The sequence below is a fragment of the Homo sapiens genome, chromosome Y, assembly GCF_000001405.40.
Source record: "Homo sapiens chromosome Y, GRCh38.p14 Primary Assembly".
NCBI classification, from domain to species: domain Eukaryota; kingdom Metazoa; phylum Chordata; class Mammalia; order Primates; family Hominidae; genus Homo; species Homo sapiens.
In genome coordinates this window covers 18495448-18510986 of record NC_000024.10, presented here as the reverse complement: position 1 = coordinate 18510986, position 15539 = coordinate 18495448, and the positions used below count along the sequence as shown (strand labels likewise).

General features: G+C 35.6%; 1 long non-coding RNA gene and 1 pseudogene across 1 annotated transcript in view; both read right to left on the bottom strand.

Annotated features, from left to right (window-relative positions):
* Positions 1–15539, bottom strand: part of LOC124905304 (uncharacterized) — a 33826-nt gene that overhangs the window by 6880 nt on the left and 11407 nt on the right. The window contains exons 6-8 of the long non-coding RNA XR_007068457.1: positions 10135–10367; positions 9936–10041; positions 4197–4324 (exon numbers count right to left, since the gene is read on the bottom strand). This is a non-coding gene — a long non-coding RNA (uncharacterized LOC124905304). The remainder of the gene's footprint in view (positions 1–4196; positions 4325–9935; positions 10042–10134; positions 10368–15539) is intronic.
* XKRYP1 (XK related, Y-linked pseudogene 1) lies at positions 1379–3175 on the bottom strand (annotated as a pseudogene).

Here is a 15539-nt window from a genome sequence, read left to right as displayed (position 1 = left end):
TTCACTGTTTGAATGAGTTCAACTTTTTTATATATAATTGTGATCACCCTATACTTGTCTTTCTGTGCCTCTCTTATTACACTGAGCATAATATCTTCCATTTCCATTCACTTGGTCACAAATAAGTAACAGGACTTCCTCCTGTTTTTAAGGCTGTGTAGTATATCTCATTGTATATATGTGCCACACTTTATCTGTCGATCTGTTGATGAGCCCTTGGGTTGTTACTGTATCTTGGCTATTATGAATAACGCTGAGATGAATATAGGACTGCAGCTATCTCTTTGACATGCTAATTTTATATGCTTTGAGCACATATTTTGAAGTAGAGTAGCTGGATCATGTGGTAATTCTATGTTTAATTTAACTTTATTTTTGAAACCTCAATTCTATGACCCCAAAAGCACAGGCTACAAAAGCACAACAAAAAACAATTGGATCATATTACATCAAACTGAAATGTTTCTGCACTGCAAAGGGAAAAGGGAAACAAATAGATTGAAGAGACAACTAAAACACTTGGAGAAAATATCTGCAAACCACATACATGATAAAAGGTGAATAATAAATACATACAAGGAACTCAAGCCACTTAACAACAACAACAACAAAAATTAAGCCTATGAAATATGGACAGAGGACCTGAATTTACATTTCTCAAAAGAAGACATACAACTAGCAAACAACTCTAAATTAAATATTGATTAATTGATTGATTTGAGATGGATTCTCACTCTGTCATCCAGGCTGGAGTGCAGTGATGTGATCTCAGCTCACTGAATCTCCACCCACTGGTTTCCAGCAATTCTGCCTCAGCCTCCCTAGTAGCTGGGATTATAGGTGTGTGCTACTTCACCCGGCTAATTTCTGAACAACTGCATGTTTAAAGATGCTCAACACCACCATCAGGGAAATGCAAATTGAAACCAACAATGAGACCTGCTTTCACACATGTTGGAATGGCCATTACTATCAAGATGAAAAACGACAAGTGTTTTTGAGAATGTAGGGCACAGAGAATGCTTGTGCACTATTGGTAGGAATGTAAATTAATATATTACGTTATTAACCTGATGATTTATTTTTAAGAGAACAGGTTTTGTGCTTTAAGATGCATTAATATGAGTGGTTTTCTGTTAGTCAGTTTAATGAGAAACACTTTGGTTACCTTAAATTAATATAAGTAGGAGCATGCTCATAAGACTTCTCTTTCAGGTTCTCCTTAAGTACAGAATGAAAACTATGGTAAGTACTCTTTCTGAAAAGAAAATATTCGCTGATAATGTATATGCTAGATTACAAACACTTGTTAAATTAAAGGCACATGTTCCAAAAGTGTACCAGGTGAAAAATGCATTATGGGTTTTTTTTCTGCCCAGATTTTGGACCCAGAGGGATTTTTGATTTTGTTTTGTTTTGTTTAAAAATTTGTACAATTATATTGAAGAAAATAAAAATTGCTAATGCATAGTAACAGGAGAAAAATCAATTTTATTAGAAACTACTTCCAAGACTTTGCTGTTTATATTTTTATGAGTATCTTTATAAAGTCATATCCAGCCTCTTTACTCTTTGTTCTGTGAAAGTATATATGTATATTTTATGGATATTGCATACTTTTTATTGATAACATCCAACCCTTCTCCATGAATGACAGTAATTCCTCAGCTGCTTATTTTTATTCTTTTGAGTTTTCTCTAGATGTTTACACAATATCACAGTGCTTCTGGATGATTTTCTGTATGTCCTGGCAATACTTTGTCTGATCACCTTGGATGCAGACACTGACAGAAGAGGAGCATAAAGCCAATGGCTAATAGGTAGGTTATGATGAGCTACATGGCAATTAATGAGTCGCAAGGCTTCAGTAAAATTTTCCCTCCAAAGAACCAAAATACCAATATTATTATCACATTTTCTAAAACCGGAAAGCTGCAGTGTTGGATTGTGTGGTCCACCTCTGTCTCTTGTCAATTATTTTCTTATTTGACAGCTGCAGCTTAACTGATGACCAGCAGAGAAGTTGATGGCAGCTTATACTAGCATGGTTAAGATAAGCATCCATACTGTACCCGCCATGCTGGAATTATTTTCTGTGTTGCTATGAAAATGAACTCCAGTTTTCCAAATCTCCGGCCATGATGCCAAAAATAATACAAAATATATGATTAATAGAAAGTGTAGGGTCCTCAGTTTCAGAGATGCAGGGAAAAATGCCAGAGTCACTACACGTGAGATAGTCACCAAGGAATGCCATATCATGACAAAGATGAATTTTATTACCCATAGCTTAATGGCAGCAAAGTTGTTGCAGGTGTGGATTGCTAGTATGTTGCGGTGAATGGCCCCATACACAACTGATAAGAGGGAACATATAATCAGCGATGCTATTAACGGTAAATATGAAAATGTTAGAGAATAATTTGTATTAGTAATGGCCACTTTCTCTTTTAAACTTGACATGTTAACATATATGCCTCCCAACCCACCTCCTTCAGAAAATAATTGACTTAAAAGAAACAAAAAAAAAGTGCTAACTTTCCATTATCAGGGATTTAGTAAATCTATGCATGCAAAACATATATTACTCCTGGGAAAAACAAATAATAAGGGAATACATATATATTCATATTTATAAACTTCTATACATATTCCCTCAAAGAAAATAGCTGGAACAGATGAAATTAGATAGATACATTCATATCTGATGCTATAAGGTGTGACAGCACATAGAAAGATTTCTCAACAAAGAAAAAATCAAATTACCTGAATTAGACCTTGAAAATGTAGCTTCTTTTTTATAGAAAGTTAGAGTGTAAAGTAAGAAATTACAGAGTAAAATAGGAGGCAAATGTAATATAAACTGTGTTTTAGATTATGGTGATAACAGAAAGTAGGAAATAAGCTGTGGAGTTAAAGTAAATCCTGGAAGTAGAACTGAACAGATTTTGCTGAGTGATGGAATACCAGGTACTAGAGAAGAAGAAAAACTAAAAGTTTTAGAAATTAAGTGTTACATGTGTATGTGCTTTTGTTTGCATGTATGTATGTAATTTTATCAGAAAAATTTTTCATAAGCAAATTAATTTAATTTTGACATTGTTCTGCGAATAATTAGACGAATATGCACAAGAAAGAAAACCAAAATTATGAAGTAGTTGAATAATCAGTTTAAACAATTCTGTACTACATTCAGTTGAAAGAGTAAAACTTCATTTCACATATGCAGGTGGGTTAAAAAAATACACTCTTCATACACAATGAAATGAAGCTAGAAAACAAAAAGAGGCCAAATAGTCATCACTTACCTAAAGTAATTACTCATTTTATAACACCATTTAGAAAATGAATATCAACAGTCCATTTATTCCTTCAGGAATACCCAAAGAGAAACTCTAAAGCAATAACATTCTGAACTGTATTTATGAGAAATAAGACTGAATAAAAATAAATGACCTAAAAATTAAGTCTTAGAAAGTAATTTTAGCTGGGTATAGTGACTCATACTGTAATCCTAGCACTTTAGGAGGCTGAGGTGAGTAGATCACTTGAGCCCAACAACAACAGCAACAACAACAACAACAACAACAACAACAACAAAGAACAACAGTAACAACAAGGAAATACACAAAAAAATGTTAGGGAGGCATGGAGGCACATGCCTGTATCTCAACTATTCAGGAGGCAGAGGTGGGAGGATTGCTTGTGCAAAGGTAGTAGGCATAGAGCTTTTTTGCCTTGGGACTTTTATATCCCTTTCCCCTGACCCCAGCACTTTAGGAGGCTGATACTCAGGGTTAACCTTATAGACCAACCCCGGCAACAGATCAGAAACTATGACCTCAGCAGAATGGACTTCAGTTCCTGTCAATATTCCTGTTGATTGACTGCAGTAACTTCAGGCACCAAATAAACGACACAGGGCAGACCATGGAAGCTACAGACCTTGAGTGCACCCATTGCTCAACTGTGTGCTACAGATGGAGCCTGGCATTGACTCAGCTTTGCCGGTCAAATTACACCAACCATGAAAGTCTGCTCATTAGTGTTTCCCCTAGTGCTACCAGGGCTGAAGCTATCTTAGACTTAAACACCTTAATTTCCTTCTTCTCCTTGCCCTGAATCTCTGGACAGGCTTACCGTGGAAGAAAGCTTCCAAACACAGCCAAACCATGAACATTGAATTAGGCACCTACATCACTGTGCAGACATTGATGCGTAGTCCCAAGGATTAGGATCGATGAGAGAAAGATGATGGCATCGAGTGGTCAAAATAAGGTGTCAGTGGTGACTGACCCACAAGAGACGGGCATGGACACATTGCCTGACAAGGAATTCAAAATAATTATTTTAAGACAATGCAGTGGACTTCAGGAAAACACAAAGGATTCTGAAATTTATCAGAGAAACTTACCTGAGAGGTTAAAATAATGGGAGAAAAAAACAAACAAAAATCTTGAAGAATAAAACACCACAAAATAAAAAATGCAGTTGACAGCAATGCCAACAGAAATGGTCAAGCAGCAAAACTCAAAGATAGGTCAATTCAAAGTACACAGTCAGAGGAGCAAATATAAATAAGATTCATGAGATTAATGGGATAACATCCAAACAGCAAAGGTATCAGACACTAGCATTCAAGAGTGTGGTAGAGCTGGGCACAATGGCTCATGCCTGTATTCCCAGCACTTTGGGAGGCCAAGGTGGGAGGATCACATGTTGCCAAGAGCCTGAGAGCAGCCTGGCTACATGGTGAAACTGTTTCTCTATTAAAATACCAAAATTAGCCAGTTATATTGGTGGACATCTGTAACCCCAGCTACTCAGAAGGCTGAGTTTGGAGAATCACTTGAACTCAGGAGAATCTCTGGAACCCAGGACTTGGAAGTTGCAGTGAGTCACAATCACACCATTGCACTCCAACCTGAGACAAGAGCAAACCTCCATCTCAACAAAAAAATGTATAAAAAAGAGTAGAAAGCTTATTTAGAGAAATAATGAGAAACCTTTCCAAACTTACATAGAAATATAAATATTCTGCTACAGGAATATCAAGGGCTTCCAATCATATTCAATATCAATAAAAATATCTGCATGACTTAATATAACCTAACCACCAAATATCAAAGTCAAAGAGAGGATACAGAATTAAGCAGGAGAAAGAAAAGAAAATATTATTTCAAGAATGCAAGTATATAAGTAATATATGCATATATATAATACAAATGTTAATAGATCCAAAGACAGATAAAAAGTGCAAGATAATAATAGAAAACTTCAGCACCTTACTCTCTGCAAAGAATAGATAATGCAGACTGAATTCAATAAGTAAGCATTGGATTAAAATGCCGAGTAGGGCAAATGCTAAAAACAGCTACTGAACTATCCATCCAAGAGCTATAAAATAAACATTCTTCTCCACTGCAAACATGGAAGATCTTCCAGGATACGTCATACATTAGGCAAAAAAAGTCACATCTTAACAAATTTGAAAAGATCAAAGTCATATCAAGTATCTCTTCCGAAATCACTAAATCATAAGTATATCAAAATTAAACAACATACTCCTGAACAACCAGTGAATCAATGAAGACAATAAGGATAAAACACCGTGTTTCTTGAGTCAAAAATAGAAACACAACACCGCAAAACCTGTGGGAAACAACCAAAGCAGTTTTAAGAGGGAAGTTATGGCAATAAATGCCTTCATGTAAAACAAGATATCAAATACACAACTTGATGTTTCAATCAAGGAATCAGAAAAACAAAAAGCTAAACTTAAAAGTAAAAAAAAAACAAAGCCCCTAATAAAGAAAATCAGAGCCAAAAAAGAGATACCATAACTGACACCAAGAAATAAATTAATGGTAAGAAATCGAATCAGCTGTAAAAAGTCACCTGTTAAAGATAAGCCCAGGACCTGATGTGTTCACTGCTGCATTCTACCTACCACAAAAAGGAAACTACTGCCACTTTTTTTTAACCTAGTGAAAACAAAAACATAAAAGAAAAAAGGAAGATATGGGAACCGTTCCAACTCATTCCATGGGGACGGCATTACGCTGATTACTAAACCAGACAAGGATACAAGAAAAAAGAGAAAACTATGGGCCACTATATCTAATAAACATAATGCAAAAATCCTCAACACAATACTGGGAAAATGACTTATAATGCACATTTGGAAAATCATTCACCGTGATCAAACGAGATTACAGGGATGCAGGAATGGTTTAATACACGAGAATTATTAAATGTCATAGATTACATCAACAAAATAAAGAACAAAGTCTATGCATTCATTTCGATATATGAAAAAAATGACAAAATTCGACATTTTTCACAATAAAATCTCTTAATAAATCATGCGTGGAACAACTGTAACTCAACACAACAAATGACATAGACCCAAATAACCAGATAACACTATATATGATGAACCCTTAGCTAGTATCACAGTCAGTGAGAGTTAAAATTGAAAGCTTTGCTGTGAAGATCTGAAAGAAGACCAGGATGTTCACTTTCACTACTTATAGTAACATAAAACCGAAAGTCATTAACTAGATAAATTAGTCAAGAGAAAGTGAGAAAAGTCACCCAAGTTGGAAAGGCAGAAGTAAAATTGTCCATATATGCTAATGACATATAAGGGAATCCTTAAACATACCACTAAAAAGTAGTTAGAACTAATTCTGAAAGTCAGTAACGTTTCCGTTTATGAAATCAACATATAAAATTCCATAGCATTTCCATGCACTAATAGCAAAGTATGTATTAAAAAAAAAACTTCAGAAAACAATCTCATTTACAATAGCTATGGGGGATAAAAAGGAGTAAATTTAAGCAAGGAGGTAAAAAAATCTGCATTCTGAAAACTATGAAACATTAATAAAATGTTAAAATGACATAACTAAATGAAAATATATCTATGTTTCTATGTTCGTTGATTGGAAAAAGTAATATGGTTAAAATGTTTATATGAGCCAAAGCAGTGCACAGATAGAATGCAATCTCTATCAAAACACCAATCGCATTTTTCACAGAAATTGAAAAAATCCTAAATTAATACAAAACCACAAACACACACACACAAAAACCCTGAATAGTCAAAGCAATCGTGAAGATGGCAGTGCGGTTGGGGAGTGAACCCACAGAACTGGAGATGTCACAATGCTATAAACCAATACAATAGAACACAGTGAACAAAAATAAATTTACACCTGTATAGCCAACTGATATTCCTCAGAGGTGCCAAGAACACAAAATGAGAAAATGTCAATCTCTTCCATAAGTGGTGCTGGGAAAACAAGAGAGCTACATGCAAAAGAATATAATTAAAACCCTATTTCTCACCACGTACAAAAATTAACTCACACGGATTAAAAAGCCTACTGCAGTGGTGTGCCCCTGTAGTTTCAGCTACTCAGGAGTCTCAGATGCGAGGATCACCTGAGCCTAGGTGTCGAAAGCTGTAGCATGAAACACTTATGCCACTGTACTCCACACTAGGTAATATAGTGAGACCTCACCTATAAGAATATATTTTAAAAAACATTTAAAAATAAAGATGTAATGAAAACACAAAACTGTCAAACTAGTTGAATAAATCACAAAACACATTTAATGACGTTGGTCTGGGCAGGAATGTTTTTTGGATAAGACTTCAAAAGCACAAGCAAAAAACACACAGGCAGAAAAATGAGGTTACATTATACTAGAAAACTTCCATACAGCAAAAATGAAAATAAAATAAAATAAATCACCAGAGTGATAGAATGAGAGAAAATATTTGCAAACTGTACATCAGACAAGGAGTTAATCAAAATATACCAGGAACTAAAAATGATTCAAAAGAACAAGGAAATAATAACCTAATTAAAAATAAGTATCTTCTGTTTTCAAAAGAATATATACACAGAGCTAACGGGTGTGTGTGTGTGTGCACGTGTGTGTGTGTGGGTGTGTGCATGTCTGTGGCTGTGTGTATATATATGTAGGTGATTACTATATATATGTATATACACACACACATATATATGCATATAGTAATCTTAACATTTCTCATGATCACAGAATTGCAAACTCTACCTTCCAGGCTCAAGCGATTCCACTGCCTCAGCCTCTGAAGTAGCTGGAATTAGAGGCACGTGCCACTCGCCCAGCTAGTTTTGTATTTTTAGTAGAGATGGGGTTTCACTATGTTAGCTAAGCTGGCCTGGAACTGCCAACCTCAGGTGATCTACCCGACTCGGCCTTTCAAGGTGCTGGGATTAGAGGTGTGAGCCACCATGCTCGGTCTATTGCAAGAAATTTAAGAAATTTATAAAATTTCATAAGTTGACCTTGTAAAAAAGAAAAAGTTGGCCAGGCACGATGGTACACACCTGTAATCCCAACCCTTTCGGAGGTCAAGGTGGGTGGATCACGAGGTCAGGAGCTTAAGACCAGCCGGACCAGTATAGTGAAAACCCATCTCTACTAAAAACACAAAAATTATCTAGGCGTGGTGGTGTGCACCTGTAGTCCCAGCTACTCGGGAGGCTGAGGCAGGAAAATCCCTTGAACCTGGGAGTTGGAAGCTGCAGGGGGGTGAGATCACACCACTGCACTGCAGCCTGGGTGACAGAGCGAGACTCTGTCTCCAAACAACAACAACTATAGCAACAAAATGAGGTGTGTTTTTACTACATGGAGATTTATTGGTTCTGATATTGTCAGGAGTTTTATTTATTTGTTGAGTTTTTTGGCTATTGTGTTGTTCATTTTTTGTTATTTCTGCCTAAGTCCTTTTCTTTCAGGAGATTCAGTCAATTAAACTTAAATTAGCTCCAGAGTATGGTCCAGAATCACTGCATGCATTGTCACTCAGATTAAGCCTTTGGCTTTGCAGGAATGTTTATTGCCCTGCTAGTGTTACTAATTGCTCCTGCTATTACTAATTTGTATTCGCATAGAAGATTAAATCGTGAGGTTACATATTTTTGCATGTGTTTATAAACTTCTGCACTTACCTTTTTGATGAAAGGTAAGACTTATCCCCATTGCCTCCTAATCATATAAAATGTATATAATTTTTATACATTTTACTATCTTGGAACTCTACATGCACATCTGTTAGTGCTAGTGTTACTAATTGCTAGTGTTACTAGTGTTACTAATTGCTCTTGCTTTTACTAATTGCTCCTAGTGTTAGTAATTGCTCCTCCTATTACTAATTTGTATTTGCATAGAAGATTAAATCGTGAGGTTACACATTTTTGCATGTGTTTATAAACTTCTGCACTTACCTTTTTATTGAAAGGTAACACTTATCCCCATTGCCTCCTAATTATATAAAATGTATATAATTTTTATACATTTTACTATCTTGGAACTCTAAATGCACATCTGAATGAAATTAGTTCTTACAAAATTTACAGTACTCGTGCAAATCAGCATAGTAACAGAGAGAAGTCAGATGGAAATGAACTGCCTAGCTATGTTTTGATATTCCAAGTCATAGCTACAAATTTAGGGATATCTAGAAAATCTACCACTAACGTGTTAAATCACGTCAGTTGACAAATAAAATTTATGAGATTAATTTTGAGCCATACTCTCTTCTCACTCTACTCTCATCCCTTAATTTAATGTTATATTTCTATCCCTCATAACTATTTGGAATGCCCATGAGGCTGAATTAGAATAATATTAAAAGGAACAGAAAAAACGACTGACTTAATCCCATTTGCATTGTTAAAAAACTATCATTACCTTATGACTGATAAAAATTGCATGGGAAAATTTTCAAAATTGTGAAAAGTAAATAAATCTAAACAGAGGGTGCATTTCAGTTAGAGGAACGATGATTATCACTTCCTTAATCTTGTTCGTGAACTATTTATATTCTATTTACTGTTTGGAAACAGAGAATGAGAGATATTTGTGTCACTTACCTCACTATAGGTCCTAAAGGAAGAATGCGCCAAGAAAAAGTAATGCAGCTTTATTTCTTCTAAAGTCTTTGTTGAAAAACGTTAGGGTGATTTGATCCAAAATTACCTGCACAACAATAAAGCTCATGGCAAATGACATCAGAATCTGTCACTAGCTTTTCAATTAATTTCAGACATATACAAAGCATAGGCGCCTCACCACAGCAGAGAACAGCTGAGCAGAGAACGCTGAAAGGAAAACTCATATGGGGTCTGTGCCCAAGGACCATTTCTTCTTCCAAAAATAAAACTCCTCCTGTACTTTCTTTATCAGTCTCTTCAAACACTGTGTCCATTCTCAGCATGCTGCTAATTCAAACTCTTCTTGTCAGTGAATCCAGTATAGCTCAGTATCAAATCCAAACAGAAGAAAACCAGATTCTGTATAATTCACTGTTCATGGAAAATATAAAAAAGTAAATACGGCTCACTAATCACAACTTAAAAATCTATGTCTTGTTTAAGAAATATTAAACCATGACTTGACATAATTTAGTCAATTAAAGCATTTGACATAATTCAGTCAATATGTCCAGTAACTTGACGTACTATTTCTTCAGTACATATTGTTTAAAGGAAATAGACAATAAAACTTGTATGAGGCATTGACTACCCCTTAATACCAAGATGATAGTCCTGTCTTCAAGTAGTAAGAAAAAAGGTGCACATTTCTCCTAAGTTTCCTTTTTGTGACCTTCAGCCAGTGTCTCCTGCTGACATCAACTAAAACAAAAGGGCACAATGTCTAAGCCAAATCTAACCATGATGACACTGAGAAAAGTATCTAACAGGTATTTCTGATTGAGAGAGGAATAGAAAATAGTGAGCCCTTTAAGTACCACTTATTGTTAGTTGTTGGCCATTTTTCATTTAAAATACTGATTCTTGGCTTGATTTAATGCAGAAGTTATGAAGTTATTAATCAAGTAAAGTTATGAAGTTATTAATCAAGTTATTAATGAAGTTATTAATCAAGAAAAGTTTCAATTTAAATAGATATGAAATCCAGATTTGAATGGTTATAGAAGATCCAAATTCTATTTTGTTGGGGGGGGGTAGGGGTGGGGTGAAATAGCTCTTATTAGGTTCTTTGCAGACAAACTGCCAGAGAAATTACTGATATACTGTCAAGGTCAATTAGTCATTATGTGTGGGAAGCAATATTAAACAAAAATGAATAAGAAGGAAGAGAAAAGGCAACAGGACTTTTAACTCAAGTAAATATTGGAACAGAAACCTTTTTCTGACTAAAAAGGTTGTTAATATAATAAAAAGGCATGAAAGGTGTAAGAATCTAATGCAAATTACCAGAGAGAAAACATAATATTTTCCCAGAAGACATTGGTCTTTTGTTAAAATATAACAATGGGAAAAATAGAAGCAGTAGTTTAAGTAAGTGGAAGGGAAGAATCAAGAAGTTACTATTTTATTTTTATTTGATAAGATGTTTATTTCCTGAACTTTCTTTGCATTGCTTTTATTCTCATAACTTATCATAAATATGCTTTCCTCCAATTTGCTAAGTTTTATGCTGCAGAGTATTAAATTCCTCAACTTCTGTTGTTCATTATTCTGATCCTAATCACACCTTTATCTATATGCACTTATTTATTCAAAGACAAAACATTTATCACATTTTAAAATACATCCTCCTGGACCCAACTCATCAATATGATTGATATTTTCCTCTTTTGCATAATTAATTTTATTCTCTTCTTCACTGCCCTGATTTCCTTATCACACATGTATAAAAAACTCCATATTTTATGATCCACAACAAAAAAAAACTGTCTCTTTTGGTACTGACCTTTTTCTCTGCTTTAATTTGCACAGAGAATTTCTATTAGCTATTTCCTTTCCATCAGTTCTTATTCTGCCTCAAGTTTTATCCCACAACAGTGAAGTCATAGTCCTTTCTCAAAGGTCATCAGTGACACCCTAATTGCTAAATTTAAAATTTTACCTTGAATTTCAGGTGAATATTTTTACCATTGATATTACACTCTCATTTGAAAATTCTACTTACCTTTACCAGTCAGGCTTTCATCCCCAACAGTCTACCAAATGTACTATATTTAAAATAATTAGCTTCCCTTTTTGCCAAATATAATAGTTTGTTTTTTAAATTTCTTGTCTTTGTTGTTTGTGTGTTTATTGAGACATGGTCTGCCTCTGTTCTCCAGGCTGGAGTGCAGTGCTTTATCAAGAACTGACTGCAGCCTCAACCTCCCAGGCTCAAGCGATCTTTCCACTGCAGCCTCCAGGGTGACTGTGACTACAGGCCACCCAGACTAGCTAATTTTGGTAGAAACACGGCCTCTCCTTGTATCCCAGGCTGGTCTTGATTCCTGGGATCAAGCCGTCTGCCTGCCTCAGGCTCCCAAAGTGCTGCCATTGGAGGTGTGAGCCACCAGTCCTGGCCAAATGTAACAACTATTTCTTAGTTTGTCTCTTCTTTGAACTATTCCTAGTGAGTTTACTCTCAATCTCCCAGTTATCTCTTCAGTACCATGGATTTCTAAATGGTACTGAGTCCCAGATTGTTATCTCCAGCCAGTCTCTTACTAAAGCCCAAATCATGGATGACTCTAATGCACATACTCATGTTTAACAGACAATTTGATCTCAAGGCTACACACTGAATTCTGATGCTCCTGCCAAAAAACTTTCCCCAGGTGTTTCCCATTTCACCTGATAGTAATTACATCCCGCTGCAAAGGCCTAAAACTGTAAGGTCAACAGTGATGCTTTTCTTTACATCTCATCATTTCTATTAATCCCCAAATTCTGCATGTTTTCCTTTTAAAACGGGTCCCGAATCTCACCACTTTTCCCTGTTTCTCCTGCTGTCACCCAGATACAGGTCATCCACATTTCCCATCTGATTAACTCAGCCTCTTTAGTGATCTCCTATCTTCCACTATTACAACTATTACACTATTACAACTATGTGAGTTATAGCTCAGATACTATAAAATTAGCCATTGTAAAGTACAAATTCAGTGATTTTCACGATATTCTCAACGTTATGCAACCATCACTATTTGTCCTTACCTTAAAAAGTAAATCTACCTATTAGCATTCAATCCCAGCTTCCCTTTGTCCTAAGATAAAACCATGGTCTTTATAATGTAATAAACCACTGCATATTATTTTCTTCTTCTTATATTTTGCTTATCTTCTTCTACCGTCCTCTTTCTTGTTCTGAGCCTCAGTGTAGGCTACAACTTCAGAGGTTTTGCACTCCTTGTTGTTTCAATAAGTTTGCTCAGATCTCCTTTGAGCTTATACTATTTACCTGCTTATAAATGAACCCACCAACCTTATCTTTATTACTTAAAAATAAAATCACTAGCTGTTGTCACTACTTTTCACTAAAGCCAAAATGTAAATTCCATCAGAACATGGATTTTTGTCTTTTGTCAGGTGAACTGGCATAAACAATACTTGATATATTTGCACTTAAATTTATCTATCTATCTATCTATCTATCTATCTATCTATCTATCTATCTATCTATCTATTTATGGCCCGGGGGTGGAGTGTGATTAAATCTTGCTCTGTTGCTCAAGCTGGAGTGACAGGATCTCAGTTCACTGCCACCTCTGCCTCTTGGGTTCAAGCAATTCTGCTGTGTCAGCCTCCTGAGTAGCTGGGAACTCAGGGGCCTCCCAGACCAACTGGCAGTTTTTTTGTTTGTTTGTTTGTTTTTGACATTTTTAATGCAGACGGGGTTTCTCCATGTTGGCCAGGCTGATGTCAAACTCCTGGCCTCAGGTCGTCCACCCGCCTTGGCCCCCCACACTTAATTGTTTTGATTGAATGTGTGAGTAATCATGCCTGGCATGACCTTTATTCTAAAAGGTTCAAAGACATAATATCTGCAACACGACTTATTATTTGGTCTTCTTATTAAACTGTGGAGACTGAAGCAATAAAAAGTTACATAATTTGTCTAAATTATTTATCCTGCTGGTTTTATTGTCAAACTAGATAATTCTGTCTGCTTCTATTTATGTATAACAAGGATTAAAAGGTACATTAAATTCTTCAGGTGTATGCTCCACAATTTATAATTTAAAACGGATATTGCCAACTTCTTTCTAGATTCTGAGTTTCGCCTTCTTATATAAAATGGTTTAACATTTAGGGGCATATTTCTAGGCATTATTTATAAGTAAACCATCATCCACCTACATGGCCATTTCCCCCAGTTTTGCTGTGTAGACTGGAGAAAGCATTCTTTCTTATTCAATTCCAATTTTGAGTTTAGCTCACATTGTTTTTTCAGTTGTTCACTTCTCTGCCACTTTATGTGACTGAGGCCCATTCAATACTTTTGTCTCGTGTTTAACTTGCATCTACATTCCTGCTAAGGCTCGTAGTGCTCAAAACTTTGACCAAGCTTTCAACAGTTTTTTAATTGAGAGATAACTCACAAACTATCACATTAGCCATTTTAAAGTACATACTCTGTTTTTTTTCAGGGTATTCACAAAGGTGTGCAAACATCACCACTTTTTAAATACAGAAGATTTCCATCATCAAAAAAATGAAAACACCTCTGCACCCATTACCATTAACTCCCAGCTTCCCCGTTTCCTAGAGCCCTTGGTATCCAATAAGCCGTTTTCTGTCACTATGGATTTGCCTATTACAGACACTTCATATAAATGGATTCATACAGTATGAGGCTGTTTGTGACTTACAGCCTTCTGTTGCAGATTATCCTCAAGGGGCTATGTATAAGAAACACCCATGAAAGGTAAAGACAATGCCTCCTTCTAAGGCAGAGTTTCCTTTCTTTACAATGCTGGGGTCTCCTAAGCTTGAGATTTCTGCAACAGGCTTGCTATTCTTTCCTGTTATTAAGCCAGGCATACTGAGGCAAAAAAGTTTCAGTATTTTGTCTAAATTCTTTATCTTGGTGGTTTCATTATAGAATATATGGATTTGCATCAATCATATCAGATATATGGTAGGTGAACGTATGATGCCAATGCACGGCAAGGGTAGCATCGGCCTAGGTCTACCTCCACATTAGGAGTTGATGGAAACATTTATATCGTGACTAATGCTACTACAAACATTCCTATACAAATTAGCATAAATACACCTTGATTTTTGGAAAATATGCAAATGTACTCAAATTATTTAAGAAACAGACTGTTTTCTAAAGAAGCAACCTCACTTTATATTCCCACTAGCAATTTGGATGTGCTTCCCAATGTTTCCATATATTCACAAACATCTGTCATTTCTTTCTGATTACAGGCCATTCTATTTAATATACATTTATATCTCTCATTGTGGTTTGCTTTTCATTTTCCTCATACCTAGTTTTCTTTTCACATGCTTAGTTCTAGATTTGATGTGACAATAATTAAAAAGATAAAGGAGCTGGGCATGGTAGCGGGCACTTGCAGTCTCAGCTTCTCAGGAGGCTGAGGCAGGACAATTGCTTAAACCCAAATGACTCAGCTATTTCATTACTGGGTATATAGCCCCCCTTCAAAAAAAAGTCATTCTATTCTAATAATAGGTGCATGTGTATGTGTGTTACAG